The following is a 14,988-nucleotide window of genomic DNA, read 5'->3' on the forward strand; positions in this document are numbered from 1 at the left end:
TCGCAGAGAGGAGCTGAGGGAAGTCAGTCCAACATCACTGTTGCTCTCCCTCCTCTCCCGCCCCTGCTTCCTACTTGCCTAACTTTCCGAAGCCAGAGGGCATGAGCCCCGGGGGGTGGAGCCAGCAAGTGAGTTTCCTGGGGTGCAGAACAACATGGAGAAGGGGGAGGAGCACCTAGAAAGGCAACCTGAAGAGATGTGGAGACGTGGCATGGAGCAGGTGCAGAGGGCACATGGAGGGCTTGGCCGTGGGGTTAGGACACGCCCTGCATTGGTCCGCATCAGCAGTATGGAGCGGTTTTGCAGCATTGAGGTGGGGAGTGTGGGCTTTCATCTCTGAAAGCTGCTATCTTCTGAACGAACCATGAGGTGATGTCATTGGCTGAGAGGGAGCTGGGGAAAGGATGTGAGAAGGGTGAGAAGAGAGGATGAAAAGATGCAATTGTCTCCACAGGGAGCAGGAAGCACTCAAGAAATATAATAGGACCCTGGGCAGCACGGAGTGCCCTCCTGGGCTTTGCGGTCCTGACATTAAAGTGTAACCAGTTGGCCTCATTGTGAGATCGCCTCCAGCTGGCAGACCCAGAGAAGTGCAGAAGGGGCTCATCCAGGCCTGGGGTTTGCAAAGGGAACACACAAGTAGAGGAGAAGAGAGGAGAACAGGGAAGGGATCAGATACCAGATTGCTGCCCAGGCGCACACACAAACACGGACATGCATAGAAGGCCATCAGCATTTGCCTACAAACATAAACATAGGCATGAACATAATAGTGAACATGTCTGAGGCAAACATCCAGATTCGCCTGGGCTTAAACTGCACTCACATGTGTGGTAATCCCACACCACGTGGACACAGATGCCCAGGAGAGTGAATATCCACATGCATATAAACAATCGGCTGCATGGATTTGTGCAGGCAGACACAGGGCAAACATGCAGTCTATGCGGGATACAGACGCATGAAGAGATCTGCACACAGACCTGAGTAAAGAACTCATGTACTGAAAGCGGCCTGAGTTGACGTGGAGATACCTGCTGTGTCTATGCTCATTTGCATGTGGAAATAAGTAGCTTAATAGAGTGGTTACAACCACAGAATCTGGAACCAGATGGCCTAAGTTCAAATCTAGGCTCTGCTCTGACACATATTAGCTGAGGTTTCACTAAGTTACTTAACCTCTCTGTGCCTCGATTGCCTCATCTGTAAAGTGGGGATAATAACATCACCTTTATAGAGTTGTTGGAAGATCCAGGGAATTATACCACACTGTCCTGGTTCGCCTCCTATCTCTTGGGCTGCTTCTTCTCATGTCCCTTGCTGGTTTCTCCATGTTGCCCAGTATCTAAACCTAGTCCCTGGGCCTGTTCTCTGATCTGTCTACCCACACTCCCTTGCTGGTATCATGCAGTCTGCAGCTGGGGACTTACGTCACTTGATCCTTTCACTGTCCGTCACTCCCATCACAATCGCACCTCCCTCCGTACCTAGTGGTGATTCCCTGGTTCATCATTAGGAGAACTTTCGTGCCTGCACATTCAACTCCCTGGCCCTCCATACTTGCTTTGCAAAACCTCAAACCTTGTTGAACCCAGCTCTCCACCTACTCAGCGCCTTCACCTGTGAAGCTATATGTGGCTGGAGAAACACACAGGATGCTGGCAGGACTCACTTTGTATTCATGACTGCAAGCCTTAGGTGACCTCAATGCTGCCCCAAGCCTCCCCCCTTCACTCTCTAGATGACTCCTTTATGCCTTCTTCCTCCTCCGCCCTCCAGCCACCTCCCCCACATCCTCACTCAGAACTGATCACTTTAGGTTAGTGCAAAAATAATTGTGGTTTTGGCCATTAAAAGTAATGGCAATATATCACTGAGAAAATCAAAGCATTAGAAAGAGATCTTCACAGCTCTGATCCCCACAACGACCCACCCACTGTATATCATCAATTCTAAGATGCATCTTTGTTAGACCACATCTTAGCATCTCTGAAACTGGAATGTTTATTCCAGTCAATAGTTTAATTCTCCTTTCTTACTTTTGGATAAGTGTCTTATATTTAATAGTAACTTAGATTTGATGAAATACGGTAGTATATATGCCCTCTTGTTACCAAGGGATGGACTGTTCTTGTCCTTGTCCAAGGATGGAAGGGATTGTCCTTTAAAACCAATCCCTTCCCTAGTGCACCAGATCCCATCCACTCTCATCCCTGTAAGAACACCACATCCGTAATTCTATCCACTCTTCCCCATAGAATCTTTCCCTTCTCTGTGGCATCATCCACAAACACATGCTATTTTATTCCTCCCAACTTATGAAAATGCTCTTGACTTGTCTCTCACTACTGGCCCATCCTCCCCATTCTAGCAAAATTCTGTGGCAGAATGATCTTTGTTCACCATCTCCAATTCCTCTCCTCCCTTTCTCTTTGAACTCCCTCCAAACCAGCTTTTAAGTCAGCATTCTACTCCAGCTGCTCTTGCCAGGGTCGCCAGTCGGTAAACGCAGTCACCAGTTCTCAGGCCTCCTATTTGACCTCAACACAGCATGTGAACACAGCTGAGCACTGTCTCCTCTTCGGAACCCTGTCCTAAGTTGACTTGCTGGACACCACACTCTCCTGGTTCTTCTCCTACCTGAAAGGCGGCTCCTTCTTATCATCTTTGCTGGTTTCTCTTGGTGTCAATATTTAAAGTTTGCAGAGGGACCCCGGGTTCAGTCCCTTGCCCTATTTCCAAGTCTGGCTACACTGATACTGTCCACTCTCCTGGCTTTAAATACCACCTCCACATTGATGGTGCTTCTCTGAGCCTGGAACCTGCATCACTAACTCCCAACTCATTATCTCCCCTCGGGGGCCCATCAGGTGTCTTCTTTGTTTGTTTGTTTGTTTGTTAGTTTTTGAGACAGGGTCTCTCTGTCACCCAGGCTGGAGTGCGGTGGTGTGAAAAAGGCTCACTGCAACCTCGACCTTCCGGGCTCGAGCCATCCTCCTGCCTCAGCCTCCCTAGTAGCTGGGACCACAGGCGCACATGCTACCGATTCAGCTATTTTTAAATTTTTCTGTAGAGAGGAGGGTCTCGCCATGTTGCCCAGGCTGGTCTCAAACTCCTGTGCTCAAGCAATCCTCCTGCCTTAGCCTCCTAAAGTAAGGGAGAGAGATGTGAGCCACTGCACCCAGCCTCATCAGGTGCCTTGAAGATTACCTATTCAAGGATAACCTTCTGATGAGAGCCTTCATTACACTTTACCCCTTTCCCTGTGACTATGAGCCTCTTGAGGGGAGACATTGTATTGTGTCGTGTCTTCATGCCCAGCACATACTGCCAGGTAACCACTTGCTAAATGAATGAATCCGTGACCAAGAAGATGTAGAGCAGAAGGAGGGGGCTCAGGTTTTGACGGTAGGGAGCACTGGACTCATGGAATTCCTGAACTGAAAGGAACAACCTGTTCAAAGGTGCGGGGGCAAGCCTCCCAGGAAAGCAGCCATCACAGGAAGGGAAGGGAGAGGGGAGAGCATTCCGGGCATGGGGTACAGCAGAGACAAAGGCCCGGAGGCTGAAGTGGCAGCTTGTTGGGGAAGACAGTGGACCAATGGGCAATTCATGAGGAGTCAAGATTATAGACATATTAAAGCTAAACTCACTCTTGAAAGGGCTTAACGTCTAGGCACAGGAACTTGGACATTAAGGTGTAGTCAGTGGGGGAGAATTAAAGATTTTTGAGCAAAGAGGAGATGTAAGAGACCAAAGATGCTCCAGAATTTCAGGTCAAAACAACTAGGAGAAAATATTGCACAAACAAGTGTTTTCTAAAAATGCAGGCTAATTTTTTCTTTCTTAATCCCAAATGCAATAGTCAAGCTAAATTTAGATGACACAAAAACATGGTGATAAATAATGTAAAACCACGTTGTGTGAGTTATCCTCTTTTGATTACATCAAAGAAAGAGTATTAGTAAGATGTTAGTGCTTAACCCCTTTATAATATGTGTTTAACATCTGCCCCTTTCTTAAAATCAAAATGAGGCCAGGTGTGGTGGCTCACACCTGTAATCCCAGCACTTTGGGATGCCGAGGCAGGCGGATCATCTAAGGTCAGGATTTCAAGACCAGCCTGGCCAACGTGGCAAAACCCCATCTCTAGTAAAAATACCAAAAAAAAAAAAAAATAATAGCCAGGCATGATGGTGCATACCTGTAGTCCCAGCTACTTGGAATGCTGAGGCAGAAGAATTGTTTGAACCCTGGAGGTGGAGGTTGCAGTGAGCCAAGATTGCACCACTGCACTGCAGCCTGGGTGACAGAGCGAGACTTTGTCAAAAAGAAAGAAAGAAAGAAGGAAAGGAAGGAAGGAAGGAAGGAAGGAAGGAAAAGAAAAGAAAGGGAAAGAAAAAAGAAAAAGAAAGAAAGAAAGAAAGAAAGAAAGAAAGAAAGAAAGAAAGAAAGAAAGAAAAAGAAAGGCAGAAAGCAAGCAAGCAGGGAGGGAGGGAAGAAAGAAAGAAGCCAGTCTTGGGAGCAGATACTTTGACGGGCAGTATTATCCAGCTGGAATTTAATTGCATTTGTTTTGTTTTTGTTATGTTTACTTTTACCATTGCAGATAGTTTATAGTGAATCATTTAATACTACTGTTAATGATACAGTTTATTTTTTCATTCATCAATCATTCAGTAAAGATTTATTGAGCACCTATTGTATGCCAGGCACAGTTCTAGATGCAGAGGATGTAGCCACAGACAAGACAGACCAAAATCCCTGCCCTCGTGGCGTTTCCACTCTAGTAGAGGACAGCAGACAATAAACAAAATGAGAATGTCAAGTAGATGGTGCAATGTGGCGCTGTGTTCTATGGAGGAAAACAAAGCAGGAGAGGGGAGAGTGACTGCTGGGTAAGGTCTTCCTCCACCTCCTTTGCATCTTTGCTCACATGCCAGCTTCTCCTGGGCTTCACAGACCACCAATTTATAATTTCCATTTAAAACTTCCATTTTATTTTTTTAATTTTTATTTATTTATTTATTTATTTCGAGATGGGGTTTCGCTCTTGTTGCCCAGGGTGGAGTGCAGTGGCACAATCTTGGCTCACTGCAACTTCCGCCTCCCGGGTTCAAGCAATTCTCGTGCCTCAGCCTCCTGAGAAGCTGGGATTACAGGTAACCGCCACCATGCCTGGCTAATTTTTGTATTTTTAGTAGAGCCACCCCGGCCTCCCAAAGTGCTGGGATTACAGGCGTGAGCCACGGCGCCCAGCCAAAACTTCCGTTTTAAATTGGCAGTCTGGGAAGCCCAGGAGAAAATGGCATGTGAGCAAAGATGTGAAGGAGGCAGAGGAATGAGCTCTGAGGCTGTGCAGGAGAAGATTGAGGCAGGGGGAACAGCGAGGGCAAAGGCCCTGTGGTAGGAATGTCCCTGATGTGAGGAGTTGCAGGAGTCCAATGTGGCTGGAGAAGAGTGAGGAAGCGGGAGAGAAGCAGACTCTGAGGTCTGAAAGGTACCTGGGGGCTGGATCACACAGGGCCTTACAGGGCTTGGGAGGGTTTCCGCTTTTACTCTGGCCACAACAGTGCATCATCATTAGAGGATTCTGAGAAGGGAGAAGTGACATTCTCCGACATTTAAACTTTAACATGACCACTTTGGCTGCTGTGCTAAGAATAGACTCTAGGGGACAAGGGCAGAAACAGGGAAACCTTTTAAAAGGACATTGTGATAACTTAGAAGATAATGGTTGTTTGGACAAGGACGGTACAAGTAGAGGCAGTATCAGATTCTGGAAGATATCCAAAGTTATCTGAAGACAATGCTGATGGAAATTGCTGACAAATTGTATGTGGGGGTGAAAAAGAATTCATGGTGGGGCCGGGCGCAGTGGCTTATGCCTGTAATCCCAGCACTTTGGGAGACCGAGGTGGGCGGATCACCTGAGGTCAGGAGTTCAAGACCAGCCTGGCCAACATTGTGAAACCCTGTTTCTACTAAAAATACAAAAATTAGCCAAGCATGGTGGTGCACACCTGTAATCCCAGCTATTAGGGAGGCTGAAGCGGGAGAATTGCTTGAACCTGGGAGGTAGAAGTTGCAGTGAGCTTAGATTGTGCCACTGCACTCCAGCCTGGGCAACAGAGTGAGACTCCATCTCAAAAAAAAAAAAAAAAAAGAAAAAGAAAGAAAGAGAATTAATGGTGGTTCCGAGGCTTTTGGGCGGAGCAACTGCAAGGGTGGAGGTTCCATTACTGAGATGGGGATGAGCATGGTGGCTCTGGGGGGAATTCCATTTTGAGTTTGAAATGCAGAGCAGACACCAAGTGGAACTGTCAAAGGAGTAGTTGTATATGTGTCTGGAGTTTCATGACACATATTTGCACTTTATTTATTTATTTATTTGAGACAGAGTCTCACTCTGTCACCTAGGCTAGAGTGCAGTGGCACTGTCTTGGCTCACTGCAGCCTCCATCTCCCAGGTTGAGGCAATTCTCCTGCCTTAGCCTCCTCAGTAGCTGGGATTACAGGTGTGCACCACCACACCCAGCTAATTTTTATATTTTTAGTAGAGATGGGGTTTCACCATAGTGGCCAGGCTGGTCTTGAACTCCTGACCTCAAATGATCTGCTCACCTTGGCCTCCCAAAGTGCTGGGATTACAGGTGTGAACCACCATGCCTGGCCACGTATTTGCACTTTAAAAGTCAGCTGATGTATCAGCTGTAAAATGAGGATAAGAAAACAAAAGAATAAAAAAAAAGAAAAACAGTCGATTTAAACAAAAAAATAATAATAGAAGTAGCATGAGGATATGGCAAAAATCACTGAAGTTGTACAGGAATGAGTAACCCTCAGAAAATACTGGGGCAGGCATGCAGAAGCCAGTGGAGCTCATGGAGAGAAGCAAGTGTGTGTGTTAGGGGAGGCTGATCCCCTTGCCTCCTCTTTCTTCCACTCTAGGGCAGAAATGCGAGCTGTGGCTCTGTGGCTGTGCCTTCACCCTCGCTGATGTCCTCCTGGGAGCCACCCTGCACCGCCTCAAGTTCCTGGGACTGTCCAAGAAATACTGGGAAGATGGCAGCCGGCCCAACCTGCAGTCCTTCTTTGAGAGGGTCCAGAGACGCTTTGCCTTCCGGAAAGTCCTGGGTGACATCCACACCACCCTGCTGTCGGCCGTCATCCCCAATGCTTTCCGGCTGGTCAAGAGGAAACCCCCATCCTTCTTCGGGGCGTCCTTCCTCATGGGCTCCCTGGGTGGGATGGGCTACTTTGCCTACTGGTACCTCAAGAAAAAATACATCTAGGGCCAGGCCTGGGGCTTGGTGTCTGACTGTCGGTGTCTCTGTGCTGTGTGATTCCCCGTGAGCTCTCAGTAACTCACTGTCTCATGAACACTTGGACAGCCCTCCCCGCCCTTCGTTCTGAGTAATAATACCGTCAGTGTGAAAACATTCCGTAGTTTAGAAGTAGACGTTGCCAATGCTGTGACTCAAGGCCACGGCTCTACTAAAAGAGAGAGAGGAAGCGAGAGAGAGAGAGAAAAAACAAAAAACAGAAAACACGAATGCCTTTTCTATCGATTCAAGGTCTCAAGATGGAACTGTGGAGACTGGTTAGGATCTGAGGTGAGTCCCAGGATGTTTCGTCCACCAGGGCCCAGATTCTGGGAGGTGCTGGGGACTCAGAGGGCCTGACCCCTCACCTCCCCTTCCCTCTTGCCCAGGGAACTCTTCCACAGGACAAAGCCGACATCAAGACTCAACTCCTCTAACCGGTACCTCTGAATGGGGCTGGATAACCGGAGACCCCATGGGAGGTCCCTGAAGATCAGAAGGGGCTTCACGCTTCTCCTGGACATGGACTAGCTTGAGCCAAGGCAGTGGCACCCAAAAACCAGGCTGCAGTGGGGACGGATACCATGAGCACACCCTCTCATTGTCCTTCTGATTTGGTCCATGTGTTGGGTTTGGCCTTAGTAGAAATCTCTGAAGGCAGCAGCCATCATCCTCTTCCTACCTTGAGTTTTTCTACCCTGTGAGGTGGGACTTTCAGTAAAAGCCATGTTGACCCTCTCTCAGAAGGTCAGTCCAGCCCAAGTGCAGGGGCGGATCTGGAGGTGGACAAACCTAGGTCCCCCTCCTAGCCTCTGTCCAAGCCATCTCCTTCAATATCCCCCCCTTCCTGTCACTCCCGGGGCTGTCCCTGTACTACACGGTGCCATGGAGCCGGGGAGAGCGGGGAAGTCTCTGCATCCATGCCACCCACCCCAGTCGGGTCTCACTTTCCTGTGCCTTTTGCATGTTGGGAAAGGGTCTTGGTGTCACTGCCGCTCATGCATAGAAACCACCAAAAGCCCCAATAAAGCATCCAGGAGGAACAGTTGCTTTTCATTTCTAAACCTGTGCTGTCCATCTAGTTCTCATTGCCAAGTGCTGGAGCCAGAAGGGTAGAGATGTGAGGTTTCAGTCTCAGTTCTTCACAAGAGCAAGCAAGAGTTGACTGCCTGTCTCAAGTTGCTGGGTCTGGGGCTGGCTTCCAGACTGACTTTCCAGGGCTCTGACCTTAACATCAACCCAGCTCATTTAGGCTCAGCCCTTTACAGGTTACAGGGCATGTGTACAACCCTTTGTTCTCATTAACCTGTGCAAGGGCCAGGTGTAGTGACTCATATTTATAATCCCAGTGCTTTGGGAGGCCAAGGCGGGAGAATTGCTCCAGGCCAGGAGTTCAAGACAAGCCTGGGCAATATAGCGAGACCCCATCTCTAGAAAATAAAATAAAATAAACCTATATATGGACCTCAGGGGGCACCCAGGGCACATGCCCCCCACCCCAATTTCCCAGAGGGAAAAATGTATTTAAAATGCCCAAAGAACATTAAATCAGGAGTATAATGTGTAGAATATAAGGCATGGTTTTACTTATTTTGCAATAAAAAAAAGTATTAAGAATTTGCACATCTTTTTTCATCAAGGTAAAAAGAAAGCTTAGTCATCCAGGGCCAAGACAGGGCAAAGGTGGAACTTAGAGACCATGAACACTGTCTGGCACCATCCATCCCCTTGGCTAATCAACCATTCACACAGGCTGGGTGTGGGCTCACGCCTGTGATCCCAGCACTTTGGGAGCCCAAGGCGGGTGGATCACGAGGTCAGGAGTTCAAGACCAGCCTGGCCAACGTGGTGAAACCTCGTCTCTACAAAGAATACAAAAATTAGCTGGGTGTGGTGGCGCATGCCTGTAATCCCAGCTACTCAGGAGGCTGAGGCACAAGAATCGCTTGAACCCAGGAGGCAGAGGTTGCAGTAAGCCAAGATGGCACCACTGCATTCCAGCCTAGCAACAGAGCGAGACTCCATCTCAAAAAAAAAAAAAAAAAAAATCAAACATCCACACAGACTCTCCCCATTCTTCATTCAACTTCCACTCAAGAACAACAATATAATACTCAATCCCCACAGGATTTACTGCCTCCTGCAATGAGGACGTGCTAAACCTCTCTCCAAAAATGAGACTCACAAAGCCCCATCGGTCAGTAACATCACTCTGGATAACGGTGGATTCTCTTCTCATTCCTCCTCTAGCTCTAGAGATCACACCCACACCTCAATCTACTATAATATTCAGATGAAAACATAAATTTGACCATCACTAGCATTCCTTATATTCAATTACACACACACACACACACACACACACACACACACCCCAAGCAAAGAAAATACTCAGAACTGCTATAGGTCTCATTTCTGTAATTGATTCCAAGGCCACTGTTGATATTTACAGTTTCTCTTTTTTCACTAGCTATTCTAGGTTCTCTTTGCCCTCAGCCAGCACCTCAGTTAGTTAGCGTATTTAACCTGGTGACATGACTCAGACTCTGGTGGTCCTTAGATTGCTATGGTCTTCCATTACTATTGGATGTGGAAGTATTATGGGGCACTGCAGACAATCCCCTATTCTTCCATGCTATCATTGTGCAGGAGCAACCCAGTTTAGCCCTGGTAATCAGCTCAATTACCCCAGCCTGTAGAGAAACACACTACTTTGCCTGTAGTTTCAAGGGTATGAGGAGCTCAAAATGGCCAAGTGGCAGTCTCAACTTCTAACTTAATTGAACCATTGAATTATTCCTCAATAGATGTACTCCTCCCTTAGGAGCTATAATTTCTAAGCTATCAAAATCCACAGTGTCAGGGATGGGAAGCAACAGTTTTATGAATGGGTTATTTGTATAATAGTGAGAGTCACTTCCACTTCCACCTTGGCATTGTTAGACCCGTGTTCTCTGGCAGTGGGAGAAACAGCACTGTGGTTGGTTCAAAGTACATACTGTATCCTGTAGGACAGCACTCCACATTGCAGTGTCTCCTGGCTGCCACTGTACCAGTCTTCAAGAGACCATTTCAGTGTTCGATAAGACCAGCTGCTTCTAGATAAGAGAGTACTTTCTTCTAGATAAGAGAGTACATGGTAAGGCCACAATATCCCATGGGTATAACCACATTGCTGAATTTCTTTTGCGATAATATCAACTCTTTGGTCAGAAGCAATGTTATGTGCAATACCAACACTGGAACCAAGGCATTCATAAGTCCATGGATATAGTGGTCGGAGAAGGCAAACCCATAGAGAGAATAAGTGAGTACAAACTGCTGCTTCCTCTGTGATGGAAGGGGTTCAATATGATCTATCTGCCCTCAGAGAGCTGGTTCCTATGGCGAATGGTGTCATATTAGGAACTGTGCACACGGGGCACTCTGCAGTGGCATTCACTAAATCAGTCTTAATCAGAGGAAGTCCGTGTTGTTGTATCCATCTATAACCTCTAGCTCAATTACCATGGCCCTTTTGTACATCAGCCTATTGAGCAAGCACTGGAGTGGCTGGGGAAAGAGAATGACAGACAGCTACAGAACAAGGCATCTTGTCCATTGGTTTCTTGAACAATGGTTTCCTCTGCAGTGGGTACTGTTTGAGGGAACATGTGCATAGGACACAAATATCCTCCCATTCTGTGTCCACTGTTAGGGGTCCATCCACATTCCTTCTCCCACAGAGCTCCTGGTTACCAATCTTCCAGTCTTCTTTCCATGTTCATAAGCATCCGGCCAAACCATCCGTCCCATGAATATGTACAGATTTATATTCCTGGACTTCTGTCTCTATCTTGATAGGGCAGACAAGCAGACATACTGCTTGAAATTCTGTTCACTGCGAGGATTTGCCTTCTGCAATGTCTTTCGGGGAATTCCTGTAGTGCTGCAACCATCCACTTCCAGGTGGTGCCAGGCCTGAGTCTTTCTTCCTCCATCAACTGATTATAGGGCATTTGCCAAGAGGCCTCTGGTGTTGACTGAGGAAGAGGCAGCAATGTGGTGAAATAGATGCCATCGTCTGAGCTGTATCACTTTCACTTGATGATAGAATGATGCTGCCATATATGCCTAGCTTTATGGCTTGATGGATCAGATGATACCAAGTTCATGATGGGGAGATCAGGTTGCATAGTCACCTGGTGTCTCCTGGTCAGGCGTGTAGTCTTTACCAGGGCCCAGTAGAAAGCCAGATGTTATTTCTCAAAAGGACCATTATTGTTTGCAGAAGAGGACATGACTTTGTCCCAAACCCTAGGGATGTGCACTGAGATTTTCCTATTAGGGCTTGCTGGAAGCTCCATACTGGATGCCTATGTCATATGTGATTTAAATACCACTGGATCTGCTGGGTCATAAGGCTGAACTCGCAGAGCATCTTATACTGTAGCCTGAATTTGCTTTGGGATCCATTCTAAACTGGCAGTCTTATGGGTTACTCAGTAAATGGTTTGGAGCAGTGTACACAAATGGATGTATTGCCAGGTACAGTGGCACATGCCTGTAATCCCAGCTACTTGAGAGGCTGAGGCAGGAGGATCACTTGAGCTCAGGAGTTTGAGACCAGACTGGGCAATTTAGTGAGACCCCCATCAAAAACAAAGACAAAAATAAGAACAAATGGGTGTATGTTGCCTCCCAAATCCAAAGAGGGCCACCAATTGTGCCTTTTTCTTAGTAGGAGGTGCAGCAACTTATCTTTCACTTGGAGGGGATATCCTGACATTTCCTAGATCCCTGGGTTGCTAAAAACTTTACCAGGTTTCCAGAACTCTGAATGTTCATGGGGTTTACATACCACCCTCTGGCATGCCTGGGTCTTAGTGAATCATCTGGTGTACTTGATGCGTCCTGCTCATTAGTTACAGCATGATGTCATCAATGTAGAGGATCAATGTTTTGTTACAGATAATCAAGATAATCAAGGTCTCTACACACTAGATTATGACAGAAAAAGAAAAGCTGACATAGTCCCATGGAAGAAAGTGATATGCTACTGCCCTGCCAATTAAGGCAAATGAGGCTGGGCATGGTGGCTCACACCTGTAATCCCAGCACTTTGGGAAGCCGAGGCGGGTGGATCACCTGAGGTCAGGAGTTCACGACCAGCCTGACAAATATGGTAAAACCCCATCTCTACTAAAAATACAAAAATTATCTGGGTGTGGTGGCGTGTGCCTCTAATCCCAGCTGCTCGAGAGGCTGAGACAGGAGAATTGCTTGAACTTGGGAGTTGGAGGTTGCAGTGAGCCGAGATTGCGCCACTGCACTCCAGCCTCAGTGACAGGGCAAAACTCCATCTCAAAAAAAAAAAAAAATGACTTTTGGTGATTCTTATCAATTTGATATACAGAATAAACATTTTCTAGACCAAGAGCTGGATACAAAGTGCTAAATACTGTGTTGATTTGCATTAATAAAGAAACCACATCTGAAAAAACTGCGGTTTGAATTACCACCTGAGGGGGTTCACAGTAAAACCTTATCCTTCTTCTGAACCCATCCCTTTTACAGTATTGCTTTTAGTTTACTAGTCTAGTGTGTGAGGTGGTGGTGGTGTGAAGTTCCAGGAGCTTTCTCTTCGTCCTTTTACCTAAGTAGTCCTCATTCCATGGGTCAAGGAGTCCTGTGTAGGCTCCACTAGCTGTTAAATTTGTTTGTTCCAATAACATATTCAGGACCTGGGTTAAAAATCACAGATGGGTCCACAGAGCCACTGGTCCACTCGCTATGAGATGTTTTCAAACCAAAACTCCATTTATCACCTAATCCCAATAAGCCTCATTAAAAATTATTTGTTAATTTATTTACTTTTACATTTCTGTGGTATATATGGGGTACATGAGACACTTTGATACAGGAATACAATGCATAATAATCATAACAGGGTAAATGGGGTATCTATCACCTCAAGAATTTATCCTTTCTTTGTGTTACAAACAATCCAATTATACTCTTCAGTTTTTTGTTTGAGATGGAGTCTCGCTTTGTTACCCAGGCTGGAGTGCGTGACACGATCTCGGCTCACTCTGCCTCCCAGGTTCAAGTGATTCTCCTGCCTCAGCCTCCCAAGTAGCTGGGACTACAGGCACGTGCCACCACACCTGGCTAATTTTTTGTATTTTCAGTAGAGACGGGTTTCACCACTTTGGCCAGGCTGGTCTCGAACTTCTGACCTCAAGTGATCTCCCCACCTCATCCTCCCAAAGTGCTAGGATTACAGGCATGAGCCACTGTGCCTGGCCTCTTTAGTATTTTTGTTTTAAAATTTTGTTTGTAGAGACAAAGTCTCACTATGTTGCCCCAGCTGGTTTCAAACTCCTACACTCAAGCAATCCTCCTGCCTTGGCTCCCCCAAATTTTGGGATTACAGGCGTGAGCCACCATGCGCAGCCTTTTAGTGTTGACACCCTTGTTGAAAATTAGTTCAGTGTAGACATACTGATTTAATTCTGGGTTCTCTATTCTTTCCCATTGGTCTATCTGTCTGTTTTTATGCCAGTACTATGCTGTTTTGGTTACAGTATAATTTGAAGCCAGGTAATGTGATTTCTCCAGTTTTATTCTTTAGCTTTGGCTATTCTGGATCTTTCATGGTTCTATATAAATTTTAGGATTATTTTTTATATTTCTGTGAAGAATGTAATTGGTATTTTGATAGGGATTGCACTGAATCTGTAGATTGCTTTGGGTAGTATGGACATTTAAACAGTATTAATTCTTCCAATCCATGAACATGGAGTATCTTTCCCTTTTTTTGGTATGTCCTCTTCAACTTCTTACATCAATGTTTTGTAGTTTTCATTATAGAGATCTTTCACTTCTTTGGTTAAATTAATTTTTAGGTTTTTATTTTACTTGTAGCTATTGTAAATGAGATTATTTTCTTGATTTCTTTTGCAGATTGTTTGCTGTTGGCATACAGAAATGCCACTGATTTTTGTACATTGATTTTGCATCCTGCAACTTATCAGTTCTAAATTTATCAGTTCTAAGAGATTTTTGGTGAAGTCTTTTGTTTTTTCCAAATATAAGGTCATATTATCTGCAAACAAGGATAATTTGACTTCTTCCTTTCCAATTTGGATGCTCATTACGTCTCTCTTTTGTCTAACTGCTCTAGCTAGGACTTCCAGTACTATGTTGTATAACAGTGGTGAAAGTGGGCACCCTTGTCTTCTTCTAGATCTTAAAAGAAAGGCTTTCAGTTTTTCCCCATTCAGTATGATACTGGCTGTGCGTCTGCCATACATGGCTTTTATTGTCTTGAGATATGTTCCTTCTATCCTGTTTTTTGAGTTTTTTTTATCATGAAGGGTTGTTGAATTTTTCAAATGCTTTTTCAGCATGAATTGAAATTATCATGTGGTTTTTCTCCTTCATTCTATTGATATAATGTATCACACTGATTGATTTGCATATGCTGAACCATCCTTGCATCCCTGGGATAAATCCCACTTGGTCATGATTAATGATCTTTTTAATGTGTTGTTGGATTCTTTTTGCTAGTATTTTGTTGAGGATTTTTACATCAATGTTCATCAGGGATATTGACCTGTAGTTTTCTTTCTTTTTTTTTTTTAATGTGTCTTTGTCTGGTTTTGGTATCAGGGTAATACTG

The 14,988-nt window shown here is 45.6% G+C and overlaps 1 protein-coding gene across 6 annotated transcripts in view, besides 2 other annotated features; it reads left to right on the forward strand.

The window, feature by feature from the left end:
* Window positions 1-8,942, forward strand: part of GDAP1L1 (ganglioside induced differentiation associated protein 1 like 1) — a 33,849-nt gene extending 24,907 nt beyond the window's left edge. For all 6 annotated transcript variants that reach the window (NR_046353.3, NM_001256738.2, NM_001256737.2 and 3 more), the window contains one exon: window positions 6,952-8,942. Coding sequence is in view for 5 of the 6 variants with exons in the window: in NM_001256738.2 (NP_001243667.1) it covers window positions 6,952-7,295 (344 nt within the window). In the remaining variant the exon portion in view is untranslated. The remainder of the gene's footprint in view (window positions 1-6,951) is intronic.
* Window positions 240-749: an enhancer, noted in NCBI's record as "OCT4-NANOG-H3K4me1 hESC enhancer chr20:42900885-42901394 (GRCh37/hg19 assembly coordinates)". NCBI's record gives its function as "activates a minimal SCP1, AML or CMV promoter by ChIP-STARR-seq in naive H9 embryonic stem cells {active_cell/tissue: H9 hESC(naive)}" and the evidence as "EXISTENCE:reporter gene assay evidence [ECO:0000049][PMID:30033119]".
* Window positions 2,384-2,678: a silencer, noted in NCBI's record as "tiled region #2613; K562 Repressive non-DNase unmatched - State 21:Repr". NCBI's record gives its function as "represses a minimal TATA promoter and a strong SV40 promoter by Sharpr-MPRA in K562 cells {active_cell/tissue: K562}" and the evidence as "EXISTENCE:reporter gene assay evidence [ECO:0000049][PMID:27701403]".
* Window positions 8,943-14,988: the final 6,046 nt, after the last annotated feature.

The sequence above is a fragment of the Homo sapiens genome, chromosome 20 (genome assembly GCF_000001405.40).
Source record: "Homo sapiens chromosome 20, GRCh38.p14 Primary Assembly".
Classification (NCBI taxonomy): Eukaryota; Metazoa; Chordata; class Mammalia; order Primates; family Hominidae; genus Homo; species Homo sapiens.